The sequence below is a fragment of the Homo sapiens genome, chromosome 4, assembly GCF_000001405.40.
Source record: "Homo sapiens chromosome 4, GRCh38.p14 Primary Assembly".
Classification (NCBI taxonomy): Eukaryota; Metazoa; Chordata; class Mammalia; order Primates; family Hominidae; genus Homo; species Homo sapiens.
The window spans coordinates 175,955,572-175,977,135 of NC_000004.12; the positions used below are offsets into that span (position 1 = coordinate 175,955,572).

The following is a 21,564-nucleotide window of genomic DNA, read 5'->3' on the forward strand; positions in this document are numbered from 1 at the left end:
TTCAGGAAGATTTATTTTCAGGTTTTCAGTTTTATTTATGAGTATCCAATCTATCTCTGGTTCACCTGACTGTGACATCATTTGGCTCTATTCTTAATCAGTAATAAGGAATAACTTCATTCCAAGCAGTAACAACAGCCAAAACAAAGCTGTTTGGCTCCATCTGTTTCTACTGATGGAGCTTGCTTCAATCACTGTAATGAGTAAACGATCCATTCCTGAACATCTAGATCCAGTGTTGTATGAAGCAGGGTTTTGGAGAGCTGTGACTGGGGACATGGTAGTATGCTGGAGCTGGCTCTCATGGTCTATGGAGAGCCCATTGTGTGTATCTCTTTCCAGCTCTGCCTTCAGTGACGTTAAAATTAGCTTTTGTGGAAATAGTTACACCTTGAAAATAGACAAATACTCGGGTAAGGGCTGAACCCTCACCAGAGACCCAGTTGTAAAATACCAACATGCTGCTAGGGCAACCCCAAATAGGTCCCACAGAATTCCATGGATGGGCGCCATAGTGCACGTGCGTCGTACAAAACCGAATGCTCTACAATATACATTAGAAGAACCTCTTGAGGATATTGGTCATCAAAATTTAAAAATTCCTGTTCTAGAGGAGCCATTAGCCAAATTTCTCTTGGATATACCAGAAAGACACATGTTCTGTCTTCATTTTATCCTATGGACAACAGACTTTCCCTCTTTTGATGGATGTTAGAGAAATTATAGATAATTTTTGAGCCATCAATAAATAAAATGTAGGGCTTAACAATACAAATTCTGTGTAAGAATCTCACCAAAGCGTCACCTAATTTTTCTACTTATATTTCATTTGCTCGAATTCATATCACTATTTCTATTTTTAATCTCTTCTTTTTATTTGTTTATACTCAAATTTATGTTATCTCTGGTAAGTACAGTTTTACAGTAAGTTTTAAACCAATAGTTAAGCTGTTTTAATTTGGTTCTGTCAAATTCCAAATGATTTCTCAGTCAAATAAAAATTTTTGAAGTACTTAGTTGAAGATTCAATGAGATAAGAAGCCATCTACCAGTTAAAAAGTACACAGAGGTGTTCAATTGATTCAGCTCAATTGGAAGGTACAAAAGAAAGTTGATTAATCCCTCCTCTAATTCTAATTTGTAAATTTTTAAGTATTCATTTCAACTGAATACTATGTCCCTGAACAATTTAATGTAATTTTAATCCCAATTGTATTTTAAGAAAGAAAAATACATTTTTAAATAGAGTTGGAGAATAAGGACAATTTGGTACAAGTAAGAATGTCAAGGCATTCATTATTCTCTAATATAAACATGAGAATAAAATAAACTATGTATTCTAGAGTACATATAGTCAGAGATTACTTCACAATATTTCAATGGGAAAGTAAACAGAAATTACTCAATATTCTCTATCAAAATACAGCCTATCAAAATATATTTAGCAATTGTTCATATAAGCGTAGGGAAAAAGACAGAAAAATATATTTTTTTACTAGAACAGCTTCCAAAAACACCCTTAGTTTTTCGGAATGTGCACCTTGGAAATGTTCAGACTGAATGCTCAGGCTTAAAAGCAGGCTGGCAAATGAAGTTACAACACATGAACAGGTGTGTTTTACCCACTATTACAGCCTCTTATCTCAGTGGGTTTCTATCAGTTCTTCTCCACCCACACCACTTACTGAACAAAAATTCTGTGCTTCACACTAAGCTAAGAGCAAAGGCAGGTAAGAAAGCCATATACGACAAGGGTACCTGCTCTCAAGTCCATTAATTATTTTACACTTTAATTGAACAAATTCATAGGTAAGTCCCTACCATGTATTTATGTACCAGGCATGCAACAAGATGATTACAGTACCATCATTCTCAGCAAACTAACACAAGAACAGAAAACCAAATGCCACATGTTCTCACTCATTAGTGGGAGTTGAACAATGAGAACACATGGACACAGGGAGGGGAACATCACACAGCAGAGTCTGTCAGTGGGTGGGTGGGTAGGGGAGTGATAGCATTAGGAGAAATACGTAATGTAGATGACCGGTTGATGGGTGCAGCAAACCACCATGGCACGTGTATACCTATGTAACAAACCTGCACGTTCTGCACATGTATCCCAGAATTTAAAGTATATATATTAAAAAAATCAATAGTAGGTTCTCATAAAAAATAAGTAAATAAAGACAAAAAATAAAGTTATAAAAACATCATAATTTTTGTTTGTGCCTACCTTTGTAACATTAATGTAACTTGTAATCCTAACATATCACCGATATTTCACAGTTTCTAAGTAATTGCTTTGTTCTGTTTTGTTGTTTGTTTTTTGTTTTTTTGAGACGGAGTCTCACTGCAACACCCAGGCTGGAGTGCAATGGTGCAATCCTGGCTCACTGCAACCTCCACTTCCCGGGTTCAAACAATTCTCCTGCCTCAGCCTCCCGAGTAGCTGGGATTCCAGGCACCCACCACCATGCCTGGCTAATTTTTGTGTTTTTACTAGAGATGGTGTTTCACCATATTGGCCAGGCCCGTCTCGAACTCCTTACTTCAAGTGACCCGCCCACCTCAACCTCCCAAAATGTTGGGATTACAGGCGTGAGCCACCATGCCCAGCCTGTTTCCAAGTAATTGTGAATGCTGGAGAGCATTGCCTATTTTGCTTTCCTGTAAAATATTAGTTGGGCCATATAAAATACTTGAATGGCATCATTCACCTTCAAAGTACTTTTTAAATGGTAGCCAATGAAAGAATAAAATCTCCACAAAGTTTAGGAAACCACTGTTGATTCAGAGGCATGTTTACTGTTCCACTCTGTAGCATTAGGTTACAGATGTGCAAATTATGATTGTATTTGAAGTGTATTTTCAAAGCCACTACCCTTGAGAACCATAAAGCCACTTTCAACATCTGTCTCTAAATTCAATTGCTAACTGATAGGGTGACATGTAAAAATGGCTAAAACTGTATTCTAAACAAAGGTATTGGTCTTCCCCCCATTCATTGACCAGGAGGACAAGTTTCCTCAGATCTCTAGAGGTCTCTGGAGAATGCTTGCCTCTAGACACTTTGAGTGTATATTAGCAGTCCATTAAGCCTGAATCTAGATCACATCTTGAAATAAACTAGGGTGTGATCTACTCACATCTGTGTTATCTACATTGCCACAGCACTAAGGTTTCCAAAAGGAGGCATAGTTTACACTAAAAGAAACCTTTTTGGTTTCACTCAACAAAATCACAGTTTACACTCTTACTGCTGCCTTTACAAAAAGCTACTCAGATCCATTTCCATTCCCACCAAACATAACCGGAATTTGTTGTCTTCAAATGAAGGCTGAATTTCACCTACCTGCAAATGTAAAAAATGAATGAAGAACATAATGAGTGTCTGAATATACAATAAAATTGCCTGGAATCCCAGGTTTTTTTAAAAAACAGTTTCCACTGAATCTGTCAAAAACACTTAAAAACCCTATAGTTACAATATAGGTAGGAATAGTAGACGGAAGGAAAACTAAATTATTCTACAAAATCAATTCAAGAAATAGTGACTAAAAACAGAGATTTTGCCAAGAATTCAAAGGAAACTCAAAACAATTATAAAAGTAACTATCCTCAAAATCGCTGGGTAGATGGGGCCAGGAACTCATGGGAACTCTCTATATTCACATTTTATAAACAGTCATGTCCCCATCTTCATTCTGCACAGCTTAACGTTATACACATTATGAGAGCTCAGGGAACAGCCAGCTTCACACATTATGATTCAGGTACTGCACATGATCCTTGCATGCTTGCCATCTAATAACCTCTCATGCATCTAGAAATGATCCTGAATACACACGTACACACATGCACACACACACACACACACCCCACATACGCACAGTTCAGTGACTGCTGCAATTACAGAGGCTTACTTAAAATTACCTAAGAAGAAGATAACAGAAAGGATGAGAAGAGCATCAGAGCTTTAGGAGAACTGGGATGTGGGGATTGTGCTACTTCACTCACTAGAGATGTATGCACAATAAATTTTAAGACTAGGCTTTGCTACTCTGTGTGACAAAAGAGTCAATTATTGAAATTCACTGGACACATTCCTGCCTCTCCACCACTGCCTGCCCCGCTCCACACACATGCAAACATATTGATATGAAATTAGTAGAGTGAAAGGAACTATTTTAGAGGTAATATAGAAATGGCCAATCATCTGTCCAGGATGGTTTTACAAAGGGTTATAAATAGAGGAGGGCTGAAAATGCAAATCCTAAGAGTCTGAGTATCTGTTCTCTTTAATTATAGTAACTAATATTAATTAGGAAATTACTGTCTGACATTGTTCTAAGCAATTTATACATTAAATGTATTTAATCCTCAAAATAACCCTATGAGAAAGAAACTATTATCCACATCCCACTTTACAAGCAAGAAAATTGAGGCACAAAGAGGTTAAGTAAATTAACCATGGTTACATCGTCACTAAGTAGCATCCTCATTGAATAGGACCAAATCATAGTCAAATATTCTACTTTGGAATTTACAAATGTCCTGACTTGTTTTCTTAAATAAGCTCCTGTTAAGTCACATCAATTGGGACCAATGTGTTTGAATTAAACTTTTTAAAATAAACTTGACATACTTGGAGTCAATTTTCAAATAATTGTTATATAAGCAAATAAAAAAATTAAACTAGGATTCTAGGCATAGAATTTAGCTGTTTTGTGGTGAGTCAGATATTGCTTTGAGATCCTTCAGAGTTTCAAGCTCATAATTCTAAATTCCACTATAGGATAATCCCCTGATGAAGTAAATAAGAACAAGATGGGCTAAATCTGTCCCATTTTTTACATTTGTATTTTATTTTATTTTAAGTTCTGGGACACTTGTAGGATGTGCAGGTTTGTTACATAGATAAACATGTGACATGGTGGTTTGCCGCACCTGTCAACCCATCACGTAGGTATTAAGCGCCAGATCCATTAGCTATTTATCCTGATGTCTCCGCCATCCCCCAACCCTGTGTGTGTTGTTCCCTTCCCTGTGTCCATGTATTCTCATTGTTCAGCTAAATCTGTTTTAAGACCAATACTGATAGTCACATTTTAAGCTATCATAATATAATTATCCCACATACTAGCTTCTGACCCTAAATAAGACACTTACCTTCTGTAGACATGATCTGTAAAATATGAAAACAAAATTACACAAGATCTCTTCAAATTCTAAAATTCTGTGATGCAATGACTAATCCCACAACATGCCACATCAGGATATACAAAATTCATGGTATTTTAAAATATGAAGTTGTTTCAATTTTGGAAGAATGATAGTTGCTTCCAAGACATAGCTACTTTTCCATTATGAATTAGGGACAAAAGCAAATAATGTAATTTGATGAGGACATACTGTTTAATGCACAAGAATGTCTATGTTACACAATAATATTCAGCATACCAATGTGCTAATTTCTGAAACTTTATTAACCGAAACTTTCTTCAAATGTAGCTGACAATACAAAACACATTTTGAGCTAATGGACTGTCAGTTGCAAACATTATTATCTGGTTATCACTCATCAGTTGCATACAAATCCCTTTATTGGAAACTTATCATCCTCTCGAAATATGCAAATTTTCAAAATGCTTACAAAACTCACCTTTAGATTACTTTTAAAGAAGAATGTTCATTCAACAAAAATCAAAATAAAACTGATTTTCTTTTTTTGGCCAGCATATAGGAGTTCAGAAGTCACTACTGCATTCTAAAAACAAATAGAAAGCTGAATAAATTAAAAATCAACAGCTCTTCTTAGGTCCATGAGAGAATTGAGGTCTTGAGACAAATGGACACCCCCCAAAAACTGGAGAGACAGATAAGCAGACACAGAAATCCAATTCCCTGGAGCAGAAATCTCTGCTGGAACTAGTACTGGGATTGAAATCTAAAGCTGTAATTTATGAATTGCTGGAGACTCAGTTTGGACAAGTTTGAGAATTAAAATCTCCCAGTGGGGCCTTCCTAGGAGGTCCCCACACTTTTCGGAGTTCTACCTTCAGGAGCCCTACCAGGTTCTCACAGAGAAGATCAGAGAAAAATCGCCTATAGCTTCCAATGTGTGAGTGGGTGGAGAGTGAGAGAGCAGCTCTTTCGAAAAACACCAGAGCTTTCTGTTCTCAGCAAGACCTACCCTCAAGGGAAAATATTCTGCCAGTGCCTACCCAACCTCGAAGAAGGGAAAGGCTCAATTTCAGCCCACTCTAGCCTTCCTGTTTCACCTAAGCAGGGAAGGTACCTGCAAAGTTACAGCCCAAGGGCACAGGCTCAGTAAAAAACTGAGTCCTAATTACAGGACAGGACAGGACAGTGCTGCCCCTCACCCAACCTTACCACCACAGCAATAGGGCTCTTGTATATTAACAGGGGAGCACAACTGAAAATGTTCACGTCTCAGGCCTTACTTAAGAAATTTCTAGGGAACCAGATGTTGCCAATCTGGTTAAAGTCTTTGGCCCTACAATAGTAGCCCATGCTGTGCACCATCCGGACCCAGTGACAATGTTACAGGACATCAAGCATCAACCCAAGGTGATCGAGCACCTGCTTTCTTTGCCCCTGGAGTATTGGAGTCAGTTCATGATGGTGGAACAAGAGAACATTGACCTCCTATATGTCATTGAAAACTCAAATGCCTTTTCAACACCACAGACACCAGAAGTAAAAGTGAGTTTACTGGGTCCTGTGGCCACTCCTGAACATCAGCTTCTTAAGACTCCTTCATCTAGCTCCCTGTTGCTGAGAGACCACTCCACCCTCACCAAGAACACTCCCAAGTGGGAGCAAAAGCAAGCCTGCCACCAACCTAGGACAATAAGGCAACCTTTTTTGCTTCTCCAATGCGCAAGTGAAGTCACAGCTGCCTATCACTTCCCAGCAGTGACTGACTATAAGAAAGGACATCCCTGTACTCTCTGCTCTGCAGCCTCCTGTACTCATTACTACTTTGGTTTCTAGGGAAACATGAAGACAACTGAGGTGATAGAAACACGGACACCTGAGGATATTTTAGCCTATGGCACCTACAGCAAAGGAAACTAGTAAACACGGCCTAATTCCTAGCCAGACAGACCAAAAAAACCCACACTAAAGACCTATTTACCTCATTTATTTTTACCCAGTGTCTAATGTCCTACTTTCAACAAAAATTGAAAGGCATACTAAAAGATAAACAAAATTTAAGAGACAGGGCAAGCATCAGAATCAGACTCAGATATGGTTGAGATTTTAGAATTATCAGATTATGAATTTAAAACAACTATGATTAATAAGGACTCTAATGGATAAAGCAGATAGCATGTAAGAACAGATGGGTAATGTAAGCAGAAATACAGAAACTAAGAAAAAAATCTAAAGAGTGCTAGAAATCAAAAACAGTGACAGAAATGAAGTCTACCTTTGATAAGCTCATCAATAGATTGAATAGAGGCAAGCAAAAACTCAGTAAGCTTGAAAAAAAAGTCAATGGAAACATCAAAAAAGAAATGTAAAAAGAAGAAAATGAATGAAATAGAGTATCAAAGAAACGTGGGACAATTACAAAAGTTGTAACATATTTATAATGAGAATTCAAGAAGGAGGGAGAGAAAAGAACAGAAAAAAATACTTGAAGCAATAATGACTGAGAATTTCCCAAAACTAATAACAGACACCAAACCTCCAATCTAAGAATCTCGGAGAACACCAAGTAGGATAAATACAAAACAAAATAAAAAATGAAATCTAGGCAAACCATATTCAAAAACACAGAGAAAATCTTGAAAGAAGCCGGGTTGGGGTGGAGAGTGGGTGAGCCTACCCAGAGAGAAGTAAAAATAATGATATCAGACTTCTCTCTACAACCATGCAAGCAAAATAGATAATGTAGTAAATATTTAAACTGTTAAAAGGAAAAACCCACCCACCTAGAAAAAATTGTTTTTCAAAAGTGAAGTCTTTATCAGGAAAAATGAAAATTGAGGATGTTTGTGCTGGTAGACGCTTCTTTAAAAGAGGTTCTTCAGAAAGAAGGAAAATGATATAGATCAGAAACCTGGATCTACATAGAGAAATGAAGAGCTTTAAAAAAGGAATAAATAAGGGTAAAATGATATCTTTTATTTTTCTTACTTTTAATTGACATAGCAGATAGCAGCTGGTTCAAAATAATAACAACAATGTATTCGATGATTTTATCTCATGGATGAATGAAATGACTGACACCAATGTTATAAGAGATAAGAGGGAGGAATTTGGAATAATCAGTTACAAGGGACTTGTCCTATCTGTGGTAATATAGTATTGCCAAGTGGTAGAGTGTCTTCTGAAAATAAACTGAAATTAATTGAAAATATATATTTAAACTCAATGGCAACCACTCAGAAAAAGTTTTAAAAATATAATTGATATGGTAAGAGAGAAGAAAAAAAAATCACATTAAATGCTCAATTAAAACCAGAAAAGACAGAAAAACAGTAGAAGACAAAAAAAAGAGAGAGAGAGAAAGAAACAAAGAGCAGGGGCAACAAGTAGAAAACAATAGCACAGTAACAAACATGATAGATAATGATCTAACTATATCAATAATCACTTTAAATGCCAATGGTATAAATACACTCAAAAAAAAAGAGAGAGACTAAGTGCATAAAACTACACCAAACTCTATGTTGTCCAAAAACAAACAAACAACAACAACAACAACAACAACAAAACCCACCCAGCTATAGAGACAAATAGATAAAAGTAAATGAATGAAGAAAGAAATACCATTACTATACTATATTAGTTCGCAGGGGCTATCATAACAAAGTACCACATTGACTGGGTGGCTTAAACAACAGAAATTTATTTTCCCACAATTCTGGAAGTTCAAGATCAAAGTGCCAGCAGGGTTGGTTTGTTCTGAGTTCTTTCTCCTTGGCTTGAAGATGGCCACTTTCTTCTCTTTGTATCGTTACATGATCTTGCCTCTGTGTGTGCCTGTGTCCTAATTTCCTATTTTATAAAGACAACAGTCATATTGGATTAGGGCCACCCTAATGACCTCATTTTACCTTAATTACATCCTTAAAGACCCTCTCTCCAAATACAGACACATTCTGAATTTGGGGCACACAATTCAGTCCATTACATTGTTAACACAAATCAAAAGCAGGTTGCAGTAGCTATATTAGTTTCAGACAGTACAGACATCAGAGCAAGGAAGGTTATCACGGATAAAGAGAGGCACTACATAATGATAAAGGAGTCAATTCTCAAGAAAACAAAACAATCCTTAATAAGCATGTACTTAACAATAGATTAGCAATATACCTGAGGCAAAAACTCAAAGAACTGCAAGGATAAACAGATGAATCCACTATTACAGTTGCAGACTTAAACACTGCTCAATCTGCAATTGAAAGTTATAGAGCAGGCAGAAAAGCAGTGAAGAAAACAGCACAATCAATTGAATCTAATTGACGTTTATGGACTACTTCATCTAACAACAGCAGACTACCCATTCTTCTCAATCTCACGCAGAACATTCACCAAGATAGACCACATTTCGTGTCCTAAAACACATCTTAATAAATTTAAAAGAATAGAAAGCAAACAAAGTATGCTCTCAGACCACAATGGATAGAAACTAGAAATCAAGGACAGAAAGCTATAAATCGTAAAGACAGACCATTGGTACTTAGACAAAAATTTACATAATTGAATGCATATATTAGAAAAAAAGAAAGATAGAAAATTCAATCATTTAAGCTTCTACCCAAGAAAACTAGAAAAAAAAGAGCAAACTAACTCTAAAGTAAGCAGCAGAAAAAAATAATATTAATTAAAGTAGAATACAAGACATTGAAAACAGGAAATCAAAGGAGAAAAATCAATGAAACCATAGAATGGTTCTTTCAAAAGATCAATAAAACGGATACACCTCTAGTTAGGTTAACTAAGGAAAAAAGAGAAAAGAAACAAATCAGAATATCAGAAATGAAAGAGGGACTATTTCTCTCTTTTTTTTTTTTTTTCCAAGACAGAGTTTCACCCTGTCTCCCAGGCTGGAGCACAGTGGTGCAATCTTGGCTCACTGCAACCTCTGCCTCCCAGGTTCAAGAGATTCTCCTTCCTCAGCCTCCCTAGTAGCTGGGATTACAGGCATGTGGTACCACTCCCAGCTAATTTTTGTATTGTTAGTAGAGACGGGGTTTCACCATGTTGGCCAGGCTGGTCTCGAACTCCTGACCTTGTGATCTGCCCACCTCAGCCTCCCAAAGTGCTGGGATTACAGGCGTGAGCCACCACGCCTGGCCAAGAGGGTCTATTTCTGTTGAATCCATAGACATTTAAAAGCTAACAAGGGAATATTACAAACAACTCTATGCCCACAAATTTGATAACCAAAATGAAATGGAACAATTCCTTAAGATACAATCCACCAAAACTTACACATAGAAAAACTAATAGTCTAAGTAGACCTTTGCAATGAAATGAACATTTTTGTGCCCTTAAAATTTATATTTTCAGGCTTGTTGCAGTGGCTTATGCCTGTAATCCCAGCACTTTTGGAGGCAGAGGTGGGAGGATTGCTTAAACTCAGGAGTTCAAGCCTGGAAAATATGGTGAAGTTCTGTCTCTACTAAAAATACAAAAATTAGCCAGGCATGGTGGCATGTGCCTGTAGTCAGAGCTACTCAGGAGGCTGAGGTGAGAGAATCTCTTGAGCCCATGAGGTGAAGGTTGCAGTGAGCTGAGATGGAGCTTCTGCATTTCAGCCTGGGGCCACAGAGCAAGATTCTGTCTCAAATAATAACAATAATAATATAATATATATATATTTCAAAATATTATATATATATATTCAGAGCCTAATCCCAGTATGATGGTCTTTGGAGGTGTGGAGGTGGGGCCTTTGGGAACAGTTAGATTATGAAGGTGGAGTTCTCATGAATGGAATTAGTGCCCTTATAACAAGAGGTCAGAGAGCTAGGCAGCTCTCTTTCTGCAATGTGAGGACAAGCAAGAAGACCACCCTCTCTAAATGAAGAAGAGGACACTCACCAAGAACCAAACCATGCTGGCATCCTGATTTAGGATATTTAACCTCCAAAACACCAAGAAATGAATGCTTGTTGTTTAAGTCATTCAGTCTGTGGTAATTTGTGTAGTAGCCTGAACTGATTATGATATCTTATATCTATAAAAGAAATTAAATCAATAATAAATAACCTTCCAAAACAGAAAGCAGCAAATGAAGATGGGTCTACTATTGAATTCTACCAAATATTTAAGAAAGAAACCAATTCTTTAAAATCTCTTACAGAAAATAGGAGTGGAGGGAATATTTCCTAATTTATTTTACAAGTCCAGTATTACCTTAATACCAGAACCATACAAAGACAACACAAGAGAAAACTACAACAAATATCAAACCTAGATACAAAAATCCTCAATAAAATATTAGCAAATCAAATCCAACAATGTATAAAAAGAATTATATATCATGACCAAAAGTGATTTATTAGTGTATGAAAATCTAGTTAAATATTCAAAAATCAATTAATGTAATCCATCACATCACAAAGCCAAAGAATAAAAATCACGATTATGACAACAGATGCAGAATAAACATTTGACAACCCATTAATGATAAAAACTTTCAGCAAACTAGGGATCGAGGTGAACTTTCTCAACTTGGTAAAGAATAGCTAAGAAAAATCTACACTTAATATCACACTTAATGACAATTAACTAGAAGCTTTCCTGCTATGGTGAGGAGGATGTCCTTGCTCATCACTCGTTTTCAATATTGTAATGGAAATTCCAGCTAAAGCAATAAGACAAGAAAAGGAAATAAAAGGTATTAATATTAGGAAGGAAGAAGTAAAACTTCATTTGCAGATGGCATAATTGTCTACATGGGAAATCTCAAAGAATCAACAAATTACTAAATTAATAAAATATTATTTTCAGTCTGCAGGATACCAGGTTAATATATAATAGTCAATCACTTTCTTATATGCCAGCAATGAGCATTTGGAATTTGAAATAAAAAACAAAATGTCATTTACATTACCATTAGAGAAATGAAATACCTAGGTATAAATCTAACAAAATATACACAAGAACTATATGAAAAACTACAACATTCTGATTAATGAAGTCAGACAAGATCTACATAAATGGAGGTACCCCATGTACATGGATAGAAAGAGTCAATATTGTCAAGATGTCAGTTCTTCCCAATTAGATCTATAGTTGCAATGTAATCCCAATCTAAATCTCAGCCAATTATTTTCAAGTTATCAATAAATTGATTCTAAATTTTATATGGAAAGAAACAGAAAAAATACAACATCAACAGCACGATGTTGAAGGAGAAGAACAAAGTTGGAGGACTGATATCACCTGACTTTAAGACTTACCACAAAGTTATAGCAATCAAAACAGCGTAATACTGGCAAAAGAATAGACAAATAAATCAATGGAACGGAATCGAGAGCGTAGTAATAGAACTACACAAACACAGTCAATTGATCTTTGGCAAAGGAGCAAAAGCAACTCAATGAAAAAAAAAACAGCCTTTTAAACCAAAGATGCTGGAACAAGTAGACATCCATAGGCAAAAAAAGAACGAATACAGAAGGAGTTATTATAGCTTTCACAGAAATAAACACAAAGGACATCATAGACCTAAATGTAAACCACAAAACTGTAAATATCTTAGGGGATGACATAGGAGAAAAATGTAAGTGATTTTAGGTTTAGTGATGAATTTTTAGACAGATTACCAAACATATGACTCATGAAAGAAAATATTGATAAGATGGACTTCATTAAAATTAATCATTGCTGCTTGGCAAAAGATGCTGTAAAGAGAATTAAAAGACAGGCCACCAGCTGGGAGAAAAATCTTTGCAAAACACATATTTGATTAATGACTGGCATCCAAAATATATCAAGATTTCTTAAATATCTACAGTAATAGAACAGATAACCCAATTAAAAAACGGACAATAAATCTGACCTAACATCTCACCAAAGATGACATAGAGATTATAGATTATCATATGAAAAAATACTCCACATCATATGTCATTTAAACAACTGAAGGATAAAAGAATAAGATACGTTTACACACTTGTGAGAATGGCAAAAATCCAAAACACTGACAATATCAGATGCTGGCAAGGATGTAGAGAAATAGGAGTTCTCATTCATTGATGGGCTGGTAGAGATGCAAAATGGTACAGCCATTTTAGAAAACAGTTTGGCAGTATTTTATAAAACTAAAAATACATTTGGCATATGATTCTAGGTATTTACCTACATGAATTAAAAACTTTAGACTACACAAAATTTATGGATATTTATGGCAGTTTCATTCATAATTGCAAATAACTTGGAAACAACCAATATATCCTTCACTAGGCGAATAGATAAATTGTAGCACTTCCATGCAATGTAATGTTTTACAACAATAAAAAGTAATGAGCTATCAAGCCATGAAAAGATAAGGAATCTTAAATACATATTATTAGGTAAAAGAAGCTAATTGAAAAGGCTATGTACTATATGACTGCAACTATATGACATTTTGGAAAAGACAAAATGTCTATAGAGACAATAAAGTGATCAGTGGTGGCAGAGGTCTAGTACAAGGAGGGAGAGAAGGCAGAGCACAGGGGATTCTTAGGGCAGTGAGACTATTCTGTACAATACTCTAATAGTAGATAGGTATCATCATACATTTGTCAAAACTCAAAGAATGTGCAACACGATTGATTGACCCCAAATGTAAACTATGGACATTAATAGTAATATATCAGGTCAGGCAAGGTGGCTCATGCCTGTAATCCCAGCACTTTGGGAAGCTGAAGCGAGAAGATCATTTGAGGTCAGGAGTTCGAAGCCAGCCTGGCCAACATGGTGAAAGCCCCTCTCTACTGAAAAAAAGAAAAAATTATCTGGGCGTGGTGGTGGGCACTTGTAATCCCAGCTACTTGGGAGGCTGAGGCAGGAGAATCTCTTGAACCCGGGAGGCAAAGGTTGTAGTGAGCAGAGATCATGCCACTGCACTCCAGCCAGGGCAACAAAGCAAAACTCTGCTCAAATAATAAGAATAATAACAACAACAATATATCAACATTGACTGATCAGTTACAACAAATGTATCGCAACAGGGCAAAATATTAGTAATACCGGAAAGTGTGTGTGGAGGGATGCAGGGTAAATAGAACTCTATGTACTTTCAACTCAATTTTCTATTAATCTAAAATGGCTCTAAAAATAATGTCTATTAATTTTTTAAAACCCACCAAAAGGCATACAATCATCTTTTGAAAATGAGTAATTATTAAGCACAAAAATAAAGCAATTTAACTACTTTTACTTTCAGGACCAATTCAGCAATTACTTTCAGATATTATTGTTCCTTAAAACACAATGACGCCGAAATATTCCACTGTGTCCTTCCTTTCTCCTTTCTAAAAACATTTTTCATCAAAGAAAACTTCTCCTACTGAAAAATATTTGGCAAATTATCTGGAAATAAAACTATTTTGCCCTTGCACTTTGCCACCTCTCAATAAACAAGTTTGTTTTCACCGGAAATCTGATTTTTTGGCTTTTAAACAGAAACACACCAGACTTGTGCTTTGTAACAGAGAAGGAAACTGAGGGTTGAAGGTCAGACTCTCATTGCAGCAAACACATGAACCCCTCACAGCAGCCAAATGCCCTACAGTTTTCAGAGACACAGTAAAGTGAACTTCCATGGAAAAGAACAAAATTCAAAAAGCAGGGGAAATGAAAAAAAAGTTACTGGTAAACAATAACAATAGACTTTGTAATACGTTTGGTTTGTTCGTGTGTGTGTGTTATAACATATGTATTTACTGACAAACGTTTATAAAATAGAGGGCTACAAGGAATACACAGAAAGAGTTGGACAGAGTTCTTGCTGTCTTTGGAAGACAAATTCTTTCTAAGCTTATTTCTTTCCTCATTCAAATTAGATTTAAAGGGTCATATGCAGGGTTGTGAAGCTTAACACAGTCACGAGTGAAAAAAGGAAAAGGGAGAAGGGAATTGAAGCAAGCTGTATCTTCGAAGCCACAACAAACTTCTTATGTTGAAATAAAAGGTCACATTAAAAGGAAGGAATTGCAACTAAAAGAAAAGCAAGATTTTATTTTTCTTTGTCACCGCTTCTACTAAATTACTAAGCTGTCAGAAGAAGAAATCTTCCGATTGTTAGATCCACTGCTCTTACCAAGTGTAGGCATCACTCGATACCGACAGACCCTTTTTTTTCCCAACTGAAGAACACAGGGTGCGGTACAGAGATGGACGCCAGAGCCTGTGCTTGAGCAGCGCAGAGCGCTCCTGGGGAATTCAGTGAAAGTTGCAAATACAATACAGCCTCAGTTAGGAAAGTAAAGGATACAGACCCCAGAAAAGGTGCAATTCCCTGACAAAGTCTGTTTGTCTGCAGCATCAACCACCTTCAAACATTTTTTATTAACTCTATTTTAAAATACAGAACATATTTAGATTTTCTAGAGCCCTAATATCTTAGTGGTTTGGATTAAAACTGTAGGCTGCAAGGTTAACTCTGCTGCTGCTGCGCTCCTGGGAAACCTGTCATTAGTGTTCTCTTTATCTTCCGTGAAAAAAAAAAAAAAAAATTCTGAAAAGGACCCGGTACCTGCCTTTAGGTTACTATGCATCAAAACCAACATAAAGCATATTTTCTGATCATATTTATTTTCACAGCTGCAATCAAACGAGGAAGTAAAGTAGGTGCTTAATATACCAAAAATATTGCGTGCACGTAATTTTCTTTAAAAACCTCATTCATCTTTTTCACGTAAAAATTAGAACCAAACACATTCAACAGAATGACATCCAGCAACTCCTCTCCCTAAATTAGCCCCCTCCCTCTCCTTTATATCTCTCTCCAACTCTACTATATTACCCTATTTGGAAGCGGGCGGCATCAGGGGAGCCAACTGAGCTATCAAGAAAACCAAACCAAAGGAAAGAAGGAGGTGTGCAGTGAATAGAGAGATGGTAGAAGAAACAGTGGTTTTGAAGTTTCTGCTGGAGCTGTCTTTCTGTATTATAGGTTTTGAAATAAAGTGTTTCATATTTTTTTTCCAGAAAAATGAAAGTACGATAGAGATGTTGAAATCATCAATAAGGAATGGCTACAGTCTGCATAATTTCTAGCTGTTTGGTTTTAGAAAGAGAAACCAGTAGAGATAAAAATCACACCTTGTGAAAGTCAGTGATGGGATCTCTTGCTTTTGGGAGGGTGGAAACAGTTATTTCCTTGGCCTGACACACGCTGTCTTACTGCTGGGGCATGCAGCTGAGTACATTGTTCTCCGCGGTTGTCTACTTGAAAAGTATTTCCAGTCAGAAGAGAGTCACGTGCAGTGTCTTTGACCTAAATTCTCCATGGTGCTACTATTCATTCTTCCCTTCCCTTCACATTATGATTCTTTGCATATACTTTATTATTCATCAGTTCACTCAAAGAACCCCCGTGTAGCTCTAAAATTTATTTAAAAAAGAAAATTTGTGTCAAAGTCAGCTACTAAAAGCAATAGAAGATTTTTTTAAAAAAATTTGTGATGTATATACATTTAAGAAGAATACAATATTCCAGTGTATCTATATAAAAATCCAAATTATTTATTTTGCTCAAAAGATTTTGTTTACATTAAAATGCAAAATCACGGATGATTGTTAAATTCATGCCAGTAATTATTTCTAAAGAGACTTATAGATAAAAACAACAAAACAATCCTGAACACGGTATTTTAAAACTGATCTTAAATGCAAGCGTTTTCACTTGCAGACTTGCTCTGCCTTTGATCAACCATACTACCTTGGACAAGCCAATTCACTTGTCTTGGCCTCAGGCTCCACACTATAAAATAAGATGTTTAAGAATAAAATCTGAAATGGTAATTTACGGTGCTAGGATCTTCATATGTATAGCCTATTATTTAAAATTTAGAGAACATTCTTTGTTAACACAGAGAAAAATAAAATATAAAATATCACATTACCTTTGTTTTGGGCTTGTTTCTTTGCATATGTGAATACCTCTGCTTGATGCATGCTTTTTAGTGGTTCGAAACACTCCTTTCCATTGTTATGCAAAGTTTCCTTTCTTGATTATGAAGGGAAAATTAGTTACTGTCTTTTCTATGCTGTGACAATGTATATCTCTACTCATATTTCTCATGAGCAGTTATATCTATTATCTTTCTATACTATTAAACTCAGATCCATGGGGCAGTCAATAGTGCTGAGCATAAACTGAGTGCTCACTAAGTGTTGGTGGAAATGAATGGATGATCACATGACGATCATCTATGTCCATTGATAATCTCACAATGCTATGTCAATGAAAACAAAGTGTGTCCATAACAGTGAACACCCACCTGAAAAGAGATGATTTATGGCAAATCATAAACCAGAAGTTTAAAGAAATAGACATGAAAAGGTCCAGAGGATTTAACTTTATAGATGCAACATCTTCTAAAGTCAAAGATTAGATAATATCGTGAATATTGAGCCTTGGGGCATTCAGTGTCTACTCTAGGTCTTCAAACCAAAAGCAGTCCACGTCAACAGAGTTTACACAATGAGGAAAAGTTTATTCTTAAAAACAAGCATGACCCAAGAAATTATTTAGCTTTTTATCTAATCCCAAAATGAACTTCACAAAGCTTTAGAACACGGTTTTGCTGTTTAACATATTGTTGTTTTCAGTAAGGTCCACCTTATGAAAGCTGTGACTCCTTTGAGGTGGTCAAATTAAAATTTTGCAGAAAGCTTACAAATTATCACATGCAAAGTGAGGTACTTAAAAGGGTCAACTACATAATTAACTTCACTTCCAACTCAGTCATACATGCTAATGAGATCTTGGGACAGGATGAATAAATGCAATTTTCAGTTAATCCCAAACCACATCATGACTATCAATTGCAATTTTAAAAATTACTAAGCATTCTTCAAAAACACTGTTCTGAAAGAATATTAGAAAGATCTGACTCAGCTCCCCTGGCTAGCCTCTCAGTGGAGGTGCTAATGAGCAGTGAAATGGCTAAGAAGGGTCTAGAAAGATAAAATAGCAAATGTTTTCCAACCTATTCACCCAGACTCTCATTACTCTGGTACACATCTGCGCCACCGCCGCTTGTCTTATCCGCTTTTAATAAATTATCATATGATGCTTTATGCTGACTTTTTTTTCACCAGCTTTTATTGCTTCACAGTTTTTAACTCATCATTTTTGGTTTAATAATAATTTGTATTATTAAAACAGCCTGGCCTGGCACAGTGGCTCATGCCTATAATCCCAGCATTTTGGGAGGCCGAGGCAGGTAGATCACCTGAGGTCAGCAGTTTGAGACCAGCCTGGTCAACACAGTGAAACCCCATCTCTACTAAAAATACAGAAAACAGCTGGGCGTGGTGGCGCACACCTGTAATCCCAGCTACTTGGGAAGCTAAGGCAGAATTGCTTGAACCTGTGAAGTGGAGGTTGCAATGAGCTGAGATCATGCTACTGCACTCCAGCCTGGGAGACAGAGTGAGACTTTGTCTCTAAATAAATAAATAAATAAATAAAAATAAAAATAAACAGCCTGTATGGTAGATCCTTTGTTCTGTTTTGTCCCTTTCAGATCCACCCTGAAAAAAGCTTCCTAAATGCCTTGTTTGTTTGTTTGTTTGATCGATTGTTTGTTTTGAGACAGGGTCTAACTCTGTCACCCAGGCTAGAGGACAGTTGCCCCATGTCAGTTCACTGCAGCCTCCACCTCCCGGGTTCAAGCGATTCTCCAGCCTCAGCCTCCTGAGTAGCTGGGATTACAGGCGTGAGCCACCATGCCCAGCCCTAAATGACACTTAAAGGGCAATGTGACTATGTCAACTGTCTGTTTAAAATCAACAGCTCCAAGCTGCTAGGATAAAATCAAAACTATTCAACATGACCACAAGGCCATGTACATAAGAATCCTATTTATGTCTTCCAGACACCTCTCCTGGTACCTTTCCTTTATTTTATTTTATTTTTGAGACAGGATCTCACCCTGTGCCTCAGGCTGGAGTGCAGTAGCACAGTCTCGGCTCACGGCAGCCTCAACATTCCAAGGTCAAGCTATCCTCCAGCCTCAGCCTCCTGAGTAGCTGGGACTACAGGCACATGCCACCATGCCCAGCTAATTTTGGTATTTTTTGTAGAGACAGGGGTCTCCCTATATTGCCCAGGCTGGTCTCAAACTCCTGGGCTCAAGTGATCTGCCTGCCTCAGCCTCCCAAACTGCTGGGATTACAGGCATGAGCCACCGCACCTGGCCTATACATCAGCCAATCTGAACTACTTTCAATTCCCTCAAGTCCATAATCTCCTACCTCTCCACTTTCAGCCTTCACACATGCCTCTCTAATACAACAAGCTAGTGCCTGCCTGCATTCTCTGCTCATCTGTGCCATACATGATTAGGGGACAGGCTCTGAGCAGCAGCCTCTCTTGCACTTTGCCTGTATACAGGTAAATCTGTCCAACTCCAAGCTGAAGCATTAATAAGCCCCCTTGGAAAGACTAACTAAAGTTCTTTTCTTCAAAACTCCTCATCAGTAAAAGCAGCTAACATTTTTAGCTCCATCTGCCAGAGTGTTTGTCTACAATCCAAACTTGGGTGAGTAACAAGATTTATTGGGTCATGTGGAATACCAATACCTGAGTTGCAGTTGTCTACTTGCCTTTCTTCCCCATTAGCCTGTAAACATCTGTGATATAACTAACCATGTTTACCTTGATCATGATTATATTTTCAGCATCTAACAGTTTATCTGGAACATAGTAGGTATATGATGGTCATTCAATCAAAATTTATTTAGCGAGTAAATGAATGGGCACAAAACAACCAAAAAATCCAGACTTCTCAGCATTGCACTAATGCCTCTAGAATTGCATTTCTCACCAGTTCCTAACTAATTTTTAGAAATATTTAAACACTTACACCTTATTCTAAAACATTATTAGTTCTTATTGCACTGATTTAGTATTAGATAACTTAATCTATCATAGGTTTAAATGTATCTTTGTTCAACAGAAAAGATTTATTAATCAAAGATAAAGTACTGTAAATGTAATCATAGAATCTTCAGTGTGAAAATTAGTTTATTAGTTATCTATCAAGAAAAAGCACCCAAAAATAACACTAAATTAATTTCTCTGTAAAAGGTGCTGAGGTCATTTTAAATGATTTTCATCTGCTTATACCGTTAAAAAGATAAGATTTTTCTTTCCAAAACCATAGTAATAGTGGCTTTCAAGGCTTTTGGTATGCTAGGAATAAAAAAAAACTATGCTATTTGTGTTTGAAAATTCAGTGATTTAGACTGTCTTCTAATTTGGCCTTGTGTTATCCAGTTTTAATAAGTCACCTACCATGCTTCACACTGATGTTTTTACCAGGTTTTATTACTTCACAATTTTTAACACATTTGTGGCTTAAATATGTCGTCTTTTTTTTTTTTTTTTTCTTGAGACGGAGTCTTCCTGTGTCGCCCAGGCTGGAGTGCAGCTGCAAGCTGCACTCGGCTCACTGCAAGCTCCGCCTCCCAAGTTCACGCCATTCTCCTGTCTCAGCCTCCCAAGTAGCTGGGCTGCAGGCGCCTGCCACCACGCCTGGCTAATTTTTTTTTTTGTATTTTTAGTAGAGACGGGATTTCACCATGTTAGCCACGATGGTCTCGATCTCCTGACCCTGTGATCCTCCCGCCTCGGCCTCCCAAAGTGCTGGGATTACAGGCGTGAGCCACCACGCCCAGCCAATATGTTGTCTTTCAAACCCCTTTTTTATTATTAAAACTGTCCTTTTTCCTTACCACAGGCAATAGCTAAATAAACATAATATTATAGTGTAACAATGTGGTTCAGAACCAACGGTAGGGACCATGCATACTCATTAAGTGAAGGTCTACAACAAAGAGGGCAAAGTGCCACCAAGGCTTGACTCTGTGGAAATGGGTACACAGATGAACGGTCCACTAATAGAAAGCTCCATTGGCCAGGCCCTGCCTTGTGTCAGGGACTAAGGCAGTCCCGTGGAGCTCTCTGCTTCTGACCATCATTGTAACGGTACAAGTGAGGTAGAACCACCCACACAGAGAAATGACAGCAGAGAACTCAAGTAAAACACACAAATTGCATAACAAGTAAGTAGAATGCCTAGATTTAAGCATAAAAGGACAGAATTGAATAAATCAAGAAAAATAAAACAAATAGACAACCCTGCATTCCATAATGGTGTTGGATATAAGAAGTATAGGTGAATTTGCATAATTAAGCTATTGGAAACTATCCAGATCTTTAAAATTATATAAATGTTCTACAAGCTAATATGTTAATAAACTCATTCAAATAAGGTCAAAACATTGTATTCTTAAATAAATAATTAATAGGCAAATCAAAGAAATAGAAGAGTGTGAACAACTGGTCTC

The 21,564-nt window shown here is 36.8% G+C and overlaps 1 protein-coding gene and 1 long non-coding RNA gene across 5 annotated transcripts in view, besides 1 other annotated feature; both read right to left on the reverse strand.

The window, feature by feature from the left end:
* LOC107984113 (uncharacterized) overlaps positions 1-6,085 on the reverse strand; it is a 59,731-nt gene extending 53,646 nt beyond the window's left edge. The window contains exons 1-2 of the long non-coding RNA XR_001741924.3: positions 5,666-6,085; positions 5,173-5,188 (exon numbers count right to left, since the gene is read on the reverse strand). This is a non-coding gene — a long non-coding RNA (uncharacterized LOC107984113). The remainder of the gene's footprint in view (positions 1-5,172; positions 5,189-5,665) is intronic.
* The window catches only part of GPM6A (glycoprotein M6A), a 369,457-nt gene that overhangs the window by 322,635 nt on the left and 25,258 nt on the right, over positions 1-21,564 (reverse strand). The gene's annotated exons all lie outside the window — the stretch shown is intronic.
* Positions 19,501-19,682: a silencer, noted in NCBI's record as "fragment chr4:176896223-176896404 (GRCh37/hg19 assembly coordinates)". NCBI's record gives its function as "represses an EF-1alpha promoter that drives an FKBP-Casp9 reporter gene in an ReSE screen in phorbol 12-myristate 13-acetate-treated (for megakaryocytic differentiation) K562 erythroleukemia cells {active_cell/tissue: K562(+PMA)}" and the evidence as "EXISTENCE:reporter gene assay evidence [ECO:0000049][PMID:32094911]".